This window comes from Homo sapiens, chromosome 3, assembly GCF_000001405.40.
Source record: "Homo sapiens chromosome 3, GRCh38.p14 Primary Assembly".
Taxonomy (NCBI): domain Eukaryota; kingdom Metazoa; phylum Chordata; class Mammalia; order Primates; family Hominidae; genus Homo; species Homo sapiens.
In genome coordinates, this window is record NC_000003.12 from 159805055 (window position 1) to 159819324 (window position 14270).

General features: G+C 42.9%; 2 protein-coding genes, 1 long non-coding RNA gene and 1 pseudogene across 32 annotated transcripts in view; 2 read left to right on the forward strand and 2 right to left on the reverse strand.

The window, feature by feature from the left end:
* The window catches only part of IQCJ-SCHIP1 (IQCJ-SCHIP1 readthrough), an 828041-nt gene that overhangs the window by 735736 nt on the left and 78035 nt on the right, over window positions 1–14270 (forward strand). The gene's annotated exons all lie outside the window — the stretch shown is intronic.
* SCHIP1 (schwannomin interacting protein 1) overlaps window positions 1–14270 on the forward strand; it is a 624116-nt gene that overhangs the window by 531811 nt on the left and 78035 nt on the right. The window lies entirely within an intron of this gene.
* Window positions 1–14270, reverse strand: part of LOC101928351 (uncharacterized) — a 28725-nt gene that overhangs the window by 5954 nt on the left and 8501 nt on the right. Inside the window, exon 1 of one of the 3 annotated variants that reach the window (XR_924643.3) lies at window positions 8895–9337. The exons of the other annotated variants lie outside the window; for them this stretch is intronic. This is a non-coding gene — a long non-coding RNA (uncharacterized LOC101928351). Of the gene's footprint in view, window positions 1–8894; window positions 9338–14270 lie in introns of those variants that run through there. 3 annotated transcript variants of the gene reach the window in all.
* RNU2-31P (RNA, U2 small nuclear 31, pseudogene) lies at window positions 3362–3516 on the reverse strand (annotated as a pseudogene).

Consider the following 14270-nt stretch of genomic DNA (forward strand, 5'->3'; position numbering starts at 1 on the left):
TATCCTTGAACCCGTAAGTGGAGCCAGGGGATGGGATAATGAGCCACAAGCCCTACCACCTGATCAACTTCCCCCAAGCACCTGGGCTTTGCAGGAGGAATTGAAGGTGCTCAAATAAAAGTTAAGGTAGTTACTAAAAGAAGGAGAGTGGTGTTGGAAGAGCAACTACAGTGCCTATTAGACTCCTGCTGTTCTGAGAATCAGCTCCAACCCACTCCTAGCAGCACCCAAGGAACTGGGGCTCCTAGCCTGACTCACAACTCTTGGAAGCTGCTGACCCCTAGTGTCTGAGGAAAGCATCGGCTCTAGAATCCAGAGGCATGGGTTTACCTCTCATGAGAATCACAGCGGCTGTGACACACTCACACACACAAGGAGGTTGTAAGCAAATTAAAACCTTTAGAAGTACTTTAATGAGTAAGTGAGTTTAATTGAAAGTCTTCCAAAGACACTGTAAGACTTAGGCCTCCCTCACCTTGCTGATCAGCAACCTCAGAACACTCTCTGTAGTCCTTTTCACACCTGTAAATTGTCATCCACAGTGTGTCTTTCTCTCTAGACAGAGGGTGTGCTTTTTGAGGGTGGGGCCTAAGTGCAAAACACCCAGCTCCTCACCTTGAACTCCTGCATGCTTAGTAAACACTTGTATGAGTAAACGAAAGACCCAACTGTTGTTCAGCTCTCCTTTCCTCTCCCCTTCCATAGCCATGGCTTTCTCTTATAAATATCAGCTCTACCAGCTTAATTGTACTCCTTTTTTTTTTTTTTTTTTGAGAGGGAGTCTCGCTCTGTCACCCAGGCTGGAATGCAGTGGAGCGATCTCGGCTCACTGCAACCTCCGCCTCCCAGGTTCGAGCAATTCTCCTGCCTCAGCGTCCCGAGTAGCTGGGACTAGAGGTGCCTGCCACCCACACCCAGCTAATTTTTGTATTTTTAGTACAGATGGAGTTTCACCAAGTTGGCCAGGCTAGTGTCAAACTCCTGACCTCAGGTGATCCACCCGCCTCGGCCTCCCAAAGTACTGGATTACAGGCGTGAGCCACCGCGCCTGGCCAATTGTATTCCTAATAGGACAACTAAGCAATCAATTGTGTTTTGAAGCTGCATGTTATACGAATGGGAAAATATTCCAACAACCCCAAATACACATCTAAGCAGCTGCTTTTGTGTTGTGGAATACCCACTATCTGGTCAGTAGAGAAAGCAGAATTTTTTATTATAAGCAGATCAACATTGCTACTGTGAATTCTTTGAGCAGTAGGCAAAGCTGTGTTAGAATGGGTTCTTCTTTGGTCTGTATGTGGCAGGTAACAGGACTTCTCCTGTGCTTCATGATTTGGGTTAGGAAGAGAGAGGAAAGGCAACAACATGGTAATTATAATATAGAATGACTCAAGACAAGAAAGAATAGGTTTTTGTTTTGTTTTGCTCTTAATTGACTTGTAATTCAAGCGTGAAATGTGGCAGCTTTCAGGATTGGAGAAACTTTGCACAAACCCAATATTAGAAGTTAACTGCCATTAGCTGTGGAGGGCACCAAAGGACAGAGAGGATTTCTCAATCTGGGAGCTGAAGGCGAGTTCTGGGGAACAGCAGCAGCCACAGCTGTAGAAATCCTGACAGCTGTTCAGTCTTGGCAGGCAGGGCTGCTGCTCACACTGGAGAAGCTGCGGGGCTTCCTGAGCAGGGCCCTCCACTCGCGTGGTGCCTGTAAGACCTGCTCTGGAGTGGAGGCATGCACCATCTTTCTTTTCCCCTTTTCACAGAGGAGGAGAAAAATGGGCAGATAAGTATCATAGCGGTCAGGTAGGTCATGGGATAGGGAAAAAAATCAATCATTGAAAAGGAGTGACTGGAAAACCACACTGTAACATTGTGCCCTAAAGTATTGTATCAGTTTTGCCAGCCTGCACTTGTCTCTTAATTATGTAAACTAAATGCTATGTGTTATCAAGATTGTCATTATTACAATTTTGTTACTTTGTAGAGAATAAACATAGATAATAAATATTAGTTCTACATTTCAGTTGACAGATTTCACAATTTTGCTTCAGAGTCCTTCTTTGGGATACATCGCCTTCTTGCAGAAATAAGGATTTTGTTCAGTCAGTGTTTAACAGAGACTTTTAAAAGCTACTAAAGTTGCAAACCACTTAAGAGTTGTAAGTCTATCATAGTCCACCCATTTGAACAGTCCCCTGTTTTAACCTGTATTTGTGCTTCGGGGAGAAAGTGGATGGAAGAGGCTCCACGCTGGCTTAGTCACACTGATGTATGAATAAACGGGCAAGTAATGGATGACCTGGGGTTCATGCCAGCCAACTCACCTGCACACCTGCTTTCACAAGCACTTGACAAGGCACCTACCTTTCTTAATGTGCCAAGTACATAATCTCTCTGATTCTGTAAAAAGATTAGCTGTTAGGAAGATTACAAAACTTTGGGTACAAAAATAAGAGTATTTTTAGAATTTTGTTCTCCATGTGTTAATTTTATCTTCAGTGGGTTTTGTTTGTTTTGCTACCTCTGCCCCACATCATAATTTATGTGTGTGTTTGTGTGTGTGTGCTGAATAGATGATCTCTAAGTAGGAAAATTCTCTTGGGAAAAATTCTCAGCATGAGAAATGTGGGGAAAATACAGCTGGACAGCTGTTTAATTTTGCCAAGAAAAAAATGAGGACTTGTTCTTTGCTGGTGCATGAGACAGGGCTGTGTCACTGCAGTGTGAGTTGTGAAGGAGAGAAGCAAACACACAGGCAAGTGTTTACACCTGCTGCCTTCTTAAGTCCTCCCAATAACCCTGTAAGGCAGGTACTACTTCTCTTGTACAGAGGAGGAAATTGAGGCCTAGCTAAGTTATGCAGTGTGCCCAAAGCATAGCTAAACAGTGTGGCCAATTTTTAAATCCAGATGTTTCTAACTCAAGAGCCCTGTTCTTCTTACTATACCAAATGGCTCAGCCCTCAAGTTGTTGTCTTAGAAATAAAAATACAAACAACAAGGAACATTTGTTCAGCTTAGTGTTTCTCAACAGAGTAAGAGATAGCTTCTCTGGAGCCCTTATGCTTTCACTAAAAATTCAATTGTTTTGTTTTTATTTTGATAAGAACCCATTAATATTAAGCATATTCTGGTTCATCACCTTATAAGCAAGGACTGCTCTGTGATATAAGTAATGCTGGTTCTATCTGTGTTTACATTGACACCAAAAACTGTTTCTCAACCCCCAGAGATTTCAAGCTAATTTACCCAATATCCATTCTTCCCCTCTACCTTACTAACAGAACCCTAATTTGCCTGGAATCAGCAATAGTCCTATGCTTCTCAGACTCCCTTGCAGTTACAAATGTTCATGTGGCAAGGTTTTAGCTCATGATATCTGAGCTATTAGATGGGGCTTCCCAGAAAGATCCTTAAAGTGGCTGACTTTTAAGATAGATAGAGGACATATCAGGTATTAAGCTGGTAAGAGCAGGTGCTACATTTGATCTCAGACAAAAGGTCAAGAAGCAATGGTCAATGTCTTTCTCACTCTCCAGTCTTTCTCCTCATCTAGCCAGGAAGGAAGGTGAGATATGACCATGAGGGCAAGAACACATACTAGCGTGGTGGAGGCAAAGATATAAGGAGTCTGGGTCTCTAATGACTACAAAAAACCCCTCATTATACCAGCCCAGGGTGTGGCTGTCTGCAGACACTTCATTATATACAAAAAATAAGCTAATTACCCCCCTCTACTAAAAATACAAAATTAGCTGGGCGTATTGGCACATGCCTGTAATTCCAGTTACTCGGGAAGCTGAGGCAGGTGAATGGCATGAACCTGGGAGACAGAGGTTGCAGTGAGCTGAGATGGCGCCATTGCATTCTAGCCTGGGCAATGAGAGTGAAACTCCGTCTCAAAAAAAAAGAAACTTTTTTTTTCTTTCTTTTTTTTTTTTTTATTATACTTTAAGTTCTAGGGTGCATGTGCACAACATGCAGGTTTGTTACATAGGTATACATGTGCCATGTTGCTTTTCTGCATCCATCAACTCATCATTTACATTAGGTATTCTCCTAATGCTATCCCTCCCCCAGCCCCCAACCCCCCGCAACAGGCCCCAGTGTGTGATGTTCCCTGCCCTGTGTCCATGTGTTCTCATTGTTCAACTACCACTGATGAGTGAGAACAAGCAGTGTTTAGTTTTCTGTCCTTGTGATAGTTTGCTTAGAATGATGGTTCCAAGTTTCGTCCATGTCCCTGCAAAGGACATGAACTCATCCTTTTTTATGGCTGCATAGTATTCCATGGTGTGTATGTGCCACATTTTCTTAATCCAGTCTATCATTGATGGACATTTGGGTTGGTTCCAAGTCTTTGCTATTGTGAATAGTGCCACAATAAACATACATGTGCATTTATAGTAGTATGATTTGTAATCCTTTGGGTATATACCCAGTAATGGGATGGCTGGATCAAATGGTATTTCTAGTTCTAGATCCTTGAGGAATTGCCACACTGTCTTCCACAATGGTTGAACTAATTTATGTTCCCACCATCAGGTAAGCCGAGATGGCGCCATTGTACTCCAGCCTGGGCAATGAGAGCAAAACTCCATCTCAAAAAAAAAAAAAAAAAGAAGCTAATTTTTAAAATAGCTTTATTAACATATGATTTATAGCCAGGTGCAGTGGCTCATGCCTGTAATCCTAGCACTTTGGGAAGCCGAGGCAGGTGGATCATTTGAGCCCAGGAGTTCGAGACCAGCCTGGGCAACATGGTGAAACCCTGTCTCTACAAAAAATACAAAAATTAGCTGGGGCATGCAAATGTAGTCCCAGCTATTTGGGAGGCTGAAGCAGGAGTATCGCTTGAGCCCAGGAGGCATAGGTTGCAGTCAGCCGAGATTGCACCACTGAGTTCCAGCCTGGGTGGCAGAATGAAACCCTGTCTCAAAAAAATAAACCAAAGGGATATAATTTACATACCGTAAAATTCACCTTTTTTGTTGTTGTTGTTGTTTTGAGACGGAGTCTCGCACTGTCGCCCAGGCTGGAGTGCAGTGGCGTGATCTCAGCTCACTGCAACCTCCGCCTCCCGGGTTCAAGTGATTCTCCTGCCTCGGCCTCCCGAGTAGCTGGGATTACAGGCAGGTGCCACCACGCCCAGCTAATTTTTTGTATTTTTAATAGAGAGTGGGTTTCACTATGTTGGCCAGGCTAGTCTTGAACTCCTGACCTCGTGATCTGCCCACCTCGGCCCCTCAAAGTGCTGGGATTATAGGCATGAGCCACCACGCCCGGCCTCAAATTCACCTGTTTTAAATGCACAGTGATTTTTAGTAAGCATAGTTTTGTTCAAACATCCCCACAACCAAATGTAGAACCTTTCTGTTATTCCCAAAACATTCCTCTTGCTCATTGGCAGTCTATCCTCATTCCTACTACCAGGCCAAGGCAACCACCGATCCACTGTCTTTATAAATCTGCCTTTTCTGAACATTTCATATAAATGGGATCATAGAATATCCAATCTTTTACATCTGGCTTCTTTCACTTAACATATTGTTTTTGATAGTCTTCCATGCTGTAGCACATAACAGTAGTTCCTTCTTGTTGCTGAATAATATTCTATTGTATGGCCGTATTATATTTTGGTCGTCCATTTACCAGTTGATGGACATGTGGATTGTCTTCACTTTTTAGACCTTATGAATAATGTTGCATGAATACATATACATCTTTGTGTAGATGTATGTTTCCATTTCTCTTGGGTAGATTCTCAGGAGAGGAATTGCAAGATCATATGGTAAATTTATGTTTCATTTTATAAGAAACTGCCAAACTGTTTTCCAAAGTAAGCACACTATCTTATATTCCCATCGGCAATGTATGAGGCTTACGGTTTTTTCATATTCTTATCAAAAATTATTTTGTCTTTTTATTATATTCCTTCTACTGGGCACGAAGTATAATAGCATCTCCTTGTAGTTTTAATTTTCATTTACCTCACGACTAATGATGTTGAGCACCTTTTCAAATGCTTATTAGCCATTCATATTTCTTTGGTGAAATACCTATTCAACTGTTGCCCATTTTTAATTGGCTTGTCTTATTATTAACTTACAAGTGATTTTTATATATTCTGGATACAAATCCTTTACCAGAAATAGTATTTGTGTATATTTTCTCCCAGACTGTGGCTTGCTTTTCATTTTCTTACTGATGTTTCTTGAAGCACAAAAGTTTTTAATTTTGATGAAGTCAATTTTTTCAGTTTTTCCTTTCATGGATTATGCTGTTGCTGTTGTGTTTAAGAACTCTTTGTCTAACTTAAGGTTGCAAAGATCTTCTGCTTTCTTCTACAAGTTTTATAGTTTTAGCTTTTACATTTGGCATATGATTCATTTTGAGTTCATTTTTGTGTATAGTGTGAGGTATCTAAATTCATCTTTCTGCATGCAGATATCCAGTTGTCCCAGCACCATCTGTTGAAAAGACTGTCCTTTCCCCATTGAATTACCTTGGCACCTTTGTCAAAAAATCAATGGACTATAAATGTAAAGTTTTATTTCTAGACTCTCAATTCTGTTCCATTGATCTACATGTCTACCCTTATGCCAGTACCACACAGTCTTAATTAATGTAGCTTTATAGTAAGTTTTAAAATTGGGAAGTCTTAAGTTTTCCAACTTTGTTCTTTTTTAAGATTGTTTTTGCTTTTCTAGGTCCTTTGCATTTCCATATACATTTTAGGATCAGCTTGTCAATTCCTGCCCAAAAGCCTGCTGGAATTTTTATAGGAATTATGTTGAATCTATAGATCACGTTGAGGGGCATTGCTATTTTAATAATACTGAGTCTTCCAATTCCTTTATTTAGATCTTTCTTCTTATAATTTCTCTTAGCAATGTTTTGTAGTTTTTTTTGTTTTTGTTTTTGTTTTTTTTTTTGGCAGAGTCTTGCTCTGTTGCCCAGGCTGAAGTGCAGTGGTGTGATCTCGGCTCACTGTAACCCTGCCTCCTAGGCTCAAGCGATTCTCGTGCCTCAGCCTCCTGAGTAGCTGGGATTACAGACACGTGCTACCATGCCTGGCTAATTTTTGTATTTTTAGTAGAGACGGGGTTTCACCATGTTGGCCAGGCTGGTCTCGAACTACTGGCCTCAAGTGATCCACCCACCTTGGCCTCCGAAAGTGCTGGGATTACAGGTGTGAGCCATCGCGCCCGGCCTGTAGTTTTCAGTGTATAAGTCTTGCACTTCTTTTGTTCCTAATTTTTCAAGTCACTGTTATATGGACTTTCTGATACATAAGGCCAAATTGAACTCATGATACATATTCTTATCACCAAATAAAATGGAAAATTTAAACAAGTGGAGGTGTACTTAATATACATAAATGATATTTCTATGTTAAGGCCAAATGGTGCATTGTGTAAACGAACAGTTTCACAGTGGAAACAATGGAGAAAACCGAATTATTACATGGCGTGCATATCCAGTCCAAATGAACCTTGTCCTTACAGTCAGTACCGTATGTATATAAGCCAATAAAACAACGTCACATGGCACAATAATCAGTATTGTTAATTGAAATTAATTGTATTCTATTTTTGTTTATATTTTGTAAATTCACTTGGATTTGTATAAGTGTTATTAGCAAAAGGAATTTACACCTAGTTTTACATGTATTGGCTCAATATTTTTTTCCTTTAATAGGTGTTGTCTTAGTTCATTTTCTGTTGCCATAACCGAATACCTGAGAGACTGGGTAATTTATAAGGAAAAGAGGTTTGTCTGGTTCACAATTCCAGAGGCTGGGAAGTCCAAGAAGCATGGTGCTGGCATCTTCTCAGCTTCAGGTGAGGGCTTTATGCTGTATCACAACATGGCAGAGAAAGGCCGAGAACCAGAAGGGAAAGCAGGAGTGTGCAGAAAGGGACAAAACATGAGAGGCAGCCTTGCTTTATAACAGCCTGCTCTCTCAGTGACTAAGAGATGGTATTAATCCCTTTCTGAGGGTGGATTCCTCAACCAAATGCCTCTTAAAGGTTCCACCACCTCTCAACACCATTACGTTGGGGACCAAGCTTCAACATGAGTTTTGGAGGGAGCTGACCATATTCAAACCATAGCAGCTATCTATTTTGTACTCACTATTGTGAAACACTGGCTCTAGTTTTTTTTTACTTTACAAAGCATTTTCAATTCACCATCTTATTATTCTCACAGTAACACTGGAGCTTGGGTAAAATAGGGCTTTTTAAAATTCCCGTATTGTAAATCATGAAACTAAGATTCACAGAAATTAAGTGATGTTTGTAATTGTATACGTCCATAAGTGGCAGTTCTGTGATTGCTGAGTGCAGTAGCTCACACCTGTAACCCCAGCACTTAGGAAGGATCTCTTGAGCCCAGGAGGCAGGAGGATCTCCTAAGCCCAGGAGTCTGAGACCAGCCTGGGCAACCTGGGGAGACCCCGTCTCTACAAAAGTTTTAAAAATTTGCCATGTGTGATGTGCTCCTGTGGTCCCAGCTACTCAGGAGGCTGAGGTGGGAGGATCACTTGAGGCCAGGAGTTCGAGGCTGCACTGAGGAGCGATCACACCACTGCACTCCAGCCTGGGCAACAGAGTGAGACGCTATCTCAAAAAAAAAAGAAGAAGAAGAAGTAAAATTAGGAGTTCAGGCTCCAAATCTCTTACTCTTTCCTCTATATCTGTATTGATTATTGATCACTTCCTTAAACCCTGCTAGGATACAAGAGAAATATAAAACTTTTGGAAAGCTTTATAGGTACCAAGATAAAACTAATATGAAGCATAGTAAAGCTAGGGTTAATATAATGGAGGCCACAGCCCAGACTCTAGATTCTAGCAGCATCTATAGAAAACAGACAACTATCCAGACCTGAGAGTTGAGTGGGAAACACGCCCTGAGCAATGCAGAAGATGTTGTCAGGCAGCCCAGATCTACAACACTCCCTCCACCCGCTTCCAGGAGGGAAGGACTTCCTTCTTCAGCTGCTGGTAATGTTGGCAGCTGACAGTGCTCAGCTGAGACCCTCTTCGGGATTGCCTGTGGCTGAGGAGAACTAGGATGCCCAAGGTAGGAGCAGTAGCAACCCATATCCAAAGACAGGTTGATGCTGGGACATGAAGGCCTGGACCTTTCACCCGGCTTGGATCCACTTTGAACGCCCAGCCCCGTTGCAGAGCATCCTCCTGGATCAGTCAGGCTTTTGTTTGCAGCTGCATCAGAATTCAGCCTCTCCCTCTGCCCTGTTTTACTGCCTGTATTCCCTCACAGGTGTTGCCCCAGAGCACTCTGAATAAACTTCCTGCCTGTGAATCTCTACCAGAGAGTCAGCTTCCTGCACCCAGTGCTCTATAAGGTTTCTAGGCAACAGGAAATGCCCTAAAGGCCAGAATTCCTCTCGCGGGTATAGCAGAGAGTAAACAGAGTAGTGTTTTGTAGTGGCTACAAAAGAAAAGGGCAATGGTGGTGGACTTTAAAAGACAGGATGAGCTGTCAGCCCTGATGGGGAGCCCCCAGAAAGCTGTAGCTGGCCCATGTGCCGCACATTTTGCCGAGTAGGGATACTGCCGAGCCCCCGATGTTCTGTTTGTAAAGTGGGTGTGTAGCCCAGGTATCAGCTCTCATCTTCACTGCCAACTGTCCTCTTCAGCTGCAGTCCTATGAATTGGGCCCTGAAGCTGGAACCGGAAGATCTGATTTTAGATCTCCCTTGCCAATTTTGTGGCTTTGTGATTCTAGAAGTTGTATTTCTCGTTTGAAAAATGGGTATGCTTTGAGGATTGAAATGATCCTAATTTCAGGGGCTCTTCATGAGTGTCATGCGACAGGAGGATTTCATGGTCAAGTAAGTCTGGGTGACACTAGGCCAAACTAAGTTTAATTGATTTCTGAGGATTTCTCAGTCTTTTATATGTTGCTTTTCCTTCTGAGTTCCTTAAGGAGGGGGTGTAATCCAAATCATCTGAACCCATCAGGAAGACTTCTTGCTGCGGACACCCTCCATGGAGCATTAATAAGCCTGGATCTTGCTGGAGTCATGTTGAGAAGACCTGTCCCATCCCATAATGGACAGTTAACAAATTTAAAATTAGACTCTCTTGATTACCGTGGTCTGCACTGCCCTAACCTTAAACCAAGTTAGGAGTCTCAGAAATATCGGAAGAGTTCCCAGTGATGCTGGCACTCATGATCGATGTGTTTTTGGTTATTTACATTTGGTAAGCTGTAATTTACCTCAAGGATACCTCCAAATCTGTGTTCAAGACATGTATGTTTTAAAGAATGTTACTCTCTCAAGCTTTTAGACTGGGGAGAAACGTGGCTTTCCAAGGCATACACTCTCCCTTGGAACAGTAGTAGCCATCATGTGTTGGAACTTATAGTTGACACCTTGGGGGGATGAAATGATATGTTGAAAAGGACGCCGAAGGTGTGTCTGGGCTGTGGGAATAAGAGTGCTATGATGCATTAGTGATGTCGCCCATTAACAACAGCATTCTCCACCTTCATTTTAGACCACAGTTAAGTTTACCATATATACTCCTTTACCTTTTGAAGACAGTAGGAGAATAAATTATTTAAACCCTCTCAAGTGCAGTGTGTTCAAAAGTAACTCATCATCATCTTCTCCCCTTCTATGCCAGTTCTCTCCATGTCACATGATGGTGGTGGTCTCCAGGAACACACCCATGATTCCTACCTGGTCTTCGTTTCCCATAACCCATCAGTCACCAAGTCTTGCCAATTTACCTTCCAAATGTGTCTCAAATCACTCCCCTTCCCATCCCAGATGCCACCCCCGTTCTGCAAATGCTATTAACTGTCACCTCAACCTCAACATAGTCTCTCTGCCTCTGGTCCTATTTATTTATTTATTTATTTATTTATTTGAGACAGCATCTCTCTCTGTCGCCCAGGCAGGAGTGCAGTGGTGCAATCTCAGCTCACTGCAATCTCTGCCTCCCAGGTTCAAGCGAGTCTCCTGCTTCAGCCTCCCAAGTAGTTGAGATTACAGGTGCATGCCACCACACCAGGCTAATTTTTGTACTTTTAGTAGAGACAGGATTTCATCATGTCGGCCAGGCTGGTCTTGAACTCCTGACTTCAAGTGATCCACCTGCCTCAGCTTCTCAAAGTGCTGGGATTACAGGTGTGAGCCACTGTGCGGCCTGCCTCTGGTCCTTTTTTAAAATGTATTTTATTTATCCATTTTTGAGATGGATCTTGCCCTGACACCCAAGCTGAAGTGCAGTGGTGCAGTCATGGCTTACTGCAGCCTCAAACTCCTGGACTCAAGGGATCCTCTTGCTTTGGCTTCCAAAGTAGCTAAGACTACAGGCAAACACCACAGCACCTGGCTTTTTAAAAATTAATTTTCATAGAGATGGGGGTCTTGCTTTGTTGCCCAGGCTGGTCTCAAACTCTTGGCTTCAAGTGATCCTCCTGCCTCAGCCTCCCAAAGTGCTGGGATTACAGAGGGGAGCCAGCCCGGCCTCTGCCTCTGATCCTGTACTCTTTAAGCTCCTCCCCTAATCTACCTACCTGACTGCCTATTCAAGTGTGTCTCATTCTCAAACACTGTAATGACTTCCTCAGGGTAAAGCCTAACATAAATTCAGCACTACATAACTCCTATATCAGCCCTGCTGACCTCTGGTCTCATTTCTTACCACTCCCTTGTACTCTAACAAAACCAGTCTGCTGACCTGCCTAACTCGTGCTGTCTCTAGCTTCCATGCCTTTGTTTTTGTGGTACCCTTTGCCTGAAATGTTTTGTCCACTCTATCTCTTTCTTGCTCAGTTAATTCCTACTCATCACTGAAACGCAGAGCTCAGACATCACCCACTCCAGAAAATCTTTCCTGACCCCCCGGCTTGATTAGAGCCCTAACCAATTATATATATTGTGCTATAAATAAATAATATAAATATGATATATAGTATAATTCTTTGTTTATGTGTCTATCTTTGCCTTAAGGCTGGGACTGTGTCTTATCTCTGTATTCCTTGAGCCTGTTACCATGCCTGCATTTATCTCAAGCGCTTAATAAATATGCGTGGATTAAATGAAGGAATTAAATACCTATGATGAATAAAACTAAGCTAATAGTGACCCATCAACATCAGAAATATAACCAATACTTAGGTAAAGAATTTTCTTTTGCAGACTAAGAATGATTGCTTTGCATGGCTGGTGAAGTCTGAAGGAGAAAAGCAAGCAATGGGGTGGGGTGGCGGGCTGCGGGTGGCGGGGTCGAGGAGAGGTGCATTGTCAATGACAGCAGCACTGAGCAGATTCTAATGACTTCACTGTGGTACAAAGCAACCTGGACACTGAATTGCATCTGGTTTCCAATGAAAGAGAACCACTTAGAGTGCTTAGCTGGGTTTAAAGCAGTTTCCTCACTTTTGTGTGGCCACTCTGGGTGTTTGCCCGTATCTGTACTTCTGTAGCTGACTTTTTAAAATGCCTGAACTTTGGCTTGTTTTTCTTCATGGATTACTAAAAAAAAAGAATACTTTCTTCTACTAATTAGATTAGATTAAAGTTAACCCATGGGACCCTTTGGCAAAGTACTGAGTAGATTAATACTTCTTTTCAGCTAGAGTTTTTGTTTTGTTTTGTTTCTGACAACAGAGAAGGAATGGAGTGTAACCTGTTACCTTCTGGTGAAATTCCTCATTGTGCTTTTGTCGCTGTATTCTTACTGTGTGCAAGACCCGCCAGTCACAGGCTCTAAGTCTAAGCCTTGGTTTGAACGGCCTTGGGAATAAAGTAGGTTTCCCAGACCCTCCCTAGGGCCCTCATTGTTTTGATTTTCCTTTTTACACATATCCACCTACAGTGTGCTACAGCCCAAAACCCAAACTTAAAAATAAACATGCAGTCCCCTTTTATTTATCCAATGGTGAGACAGGCCATCAGCAGCTGCAGTAGACTGAAGCCTAGAGGTAGACCCTCAAGTCAGACAACAGCCCTCTCCACAATAATCAGCCAAGGAGTGTTCACAAAGCCAGCATATCTTACACCCAAGCAGGACAGGAGTGTGGATCGAGGAGTAAGCTGCTGTGGTGTGGAAATTTCATGCATCCTCAAATGATGTAGATGAAGAAGGCATTTTACATCAAAGTAGCACCTTCTATGCTCTTATCGTATGGCCCCAGAGTGCTGTGCCTAATGCTAAAGTTCTGGGGAGAGAAAGTGGTTGAAAAGCTGTAAACAAATAGTTGGGTAGACTTTAAAGTGGGGACAATAACACTCTGAGATTCAAAGTAGAAAAGAGCAGGCAAAGTGCAGCATTGATCACTTGGAAACCTCCTGACATTTTGTCACCAGCTTCTCTCCTCTATCTCCCCTCTGAGGATTTACTAATCACCTCAGCTTTGTGTCATCCTCCCCAGGAAGGGGCAGTGTGGAGCCGTGGTAGAGCACTGCCTGGGAATCTGCAGGGCCAGTGGGGCCACCTGCCCGCAGCAGAGCCTTTGTGTGACCGTAGGGAAGCCTGGGGCAGGGAACCACTGCCCCTGCTACCAGCATGCTGTCTGTCATCAGCACCAGGAGCTGTGCCAGGGGCTTTGCAATCCTGATCTTATGCAGCCTTCATACTGCAAGCAGCACTTGCTGGAGCAGCCTGTCCAAGGTCACAGAGCAAAGGTCAGCTGTGTCCAGCATGGAGGCCCTGCTCTAGTCCATGGTCATATCACAGGTCCTTTTCCTTTTTGACAGCATTTGGCTTTTGTAGATTAACAAAATTATATATTCCAAGTTCTTAATTTTAATTGAAAAAAAATTAACTGTGTGGTCCTTACCCTCTGTCTTAGTTGTGTATTGCTGTATAAATAATAGTTTACTACAGTTTAAAAAAACAGACATTTACTATCTCACAATTTCTGATCATCAGGAATCCCAGAGCTGCTTAGCTGGTGTTTGTGGCACAGAATTTCTCATGACACTTTAGGCAGAATGTGCATTGGGGCTGCAGTCATCTGAAAGCTTGACTGGAACTGCTGGAGGGTCCTCCTCATTCACATGACTGGAGGCTGGAGCCCTCAATTCCTCACCACGTGGCCCTCTCCGTGGGCTGTTTGTGTGTTTTCATGACATGGCAGATAACTTCCCCCAGTGCTGGTGATCAGAGAGAAAGAAAGAGTGTGGGAGCTTGGGGGAGAGAGAGAGAGGAAGAAAGAGATGGATGGATGAAGCTGCTGTGCCTCTTTTGACCTAGCCTCTGTGGTAGCAGGTATGTC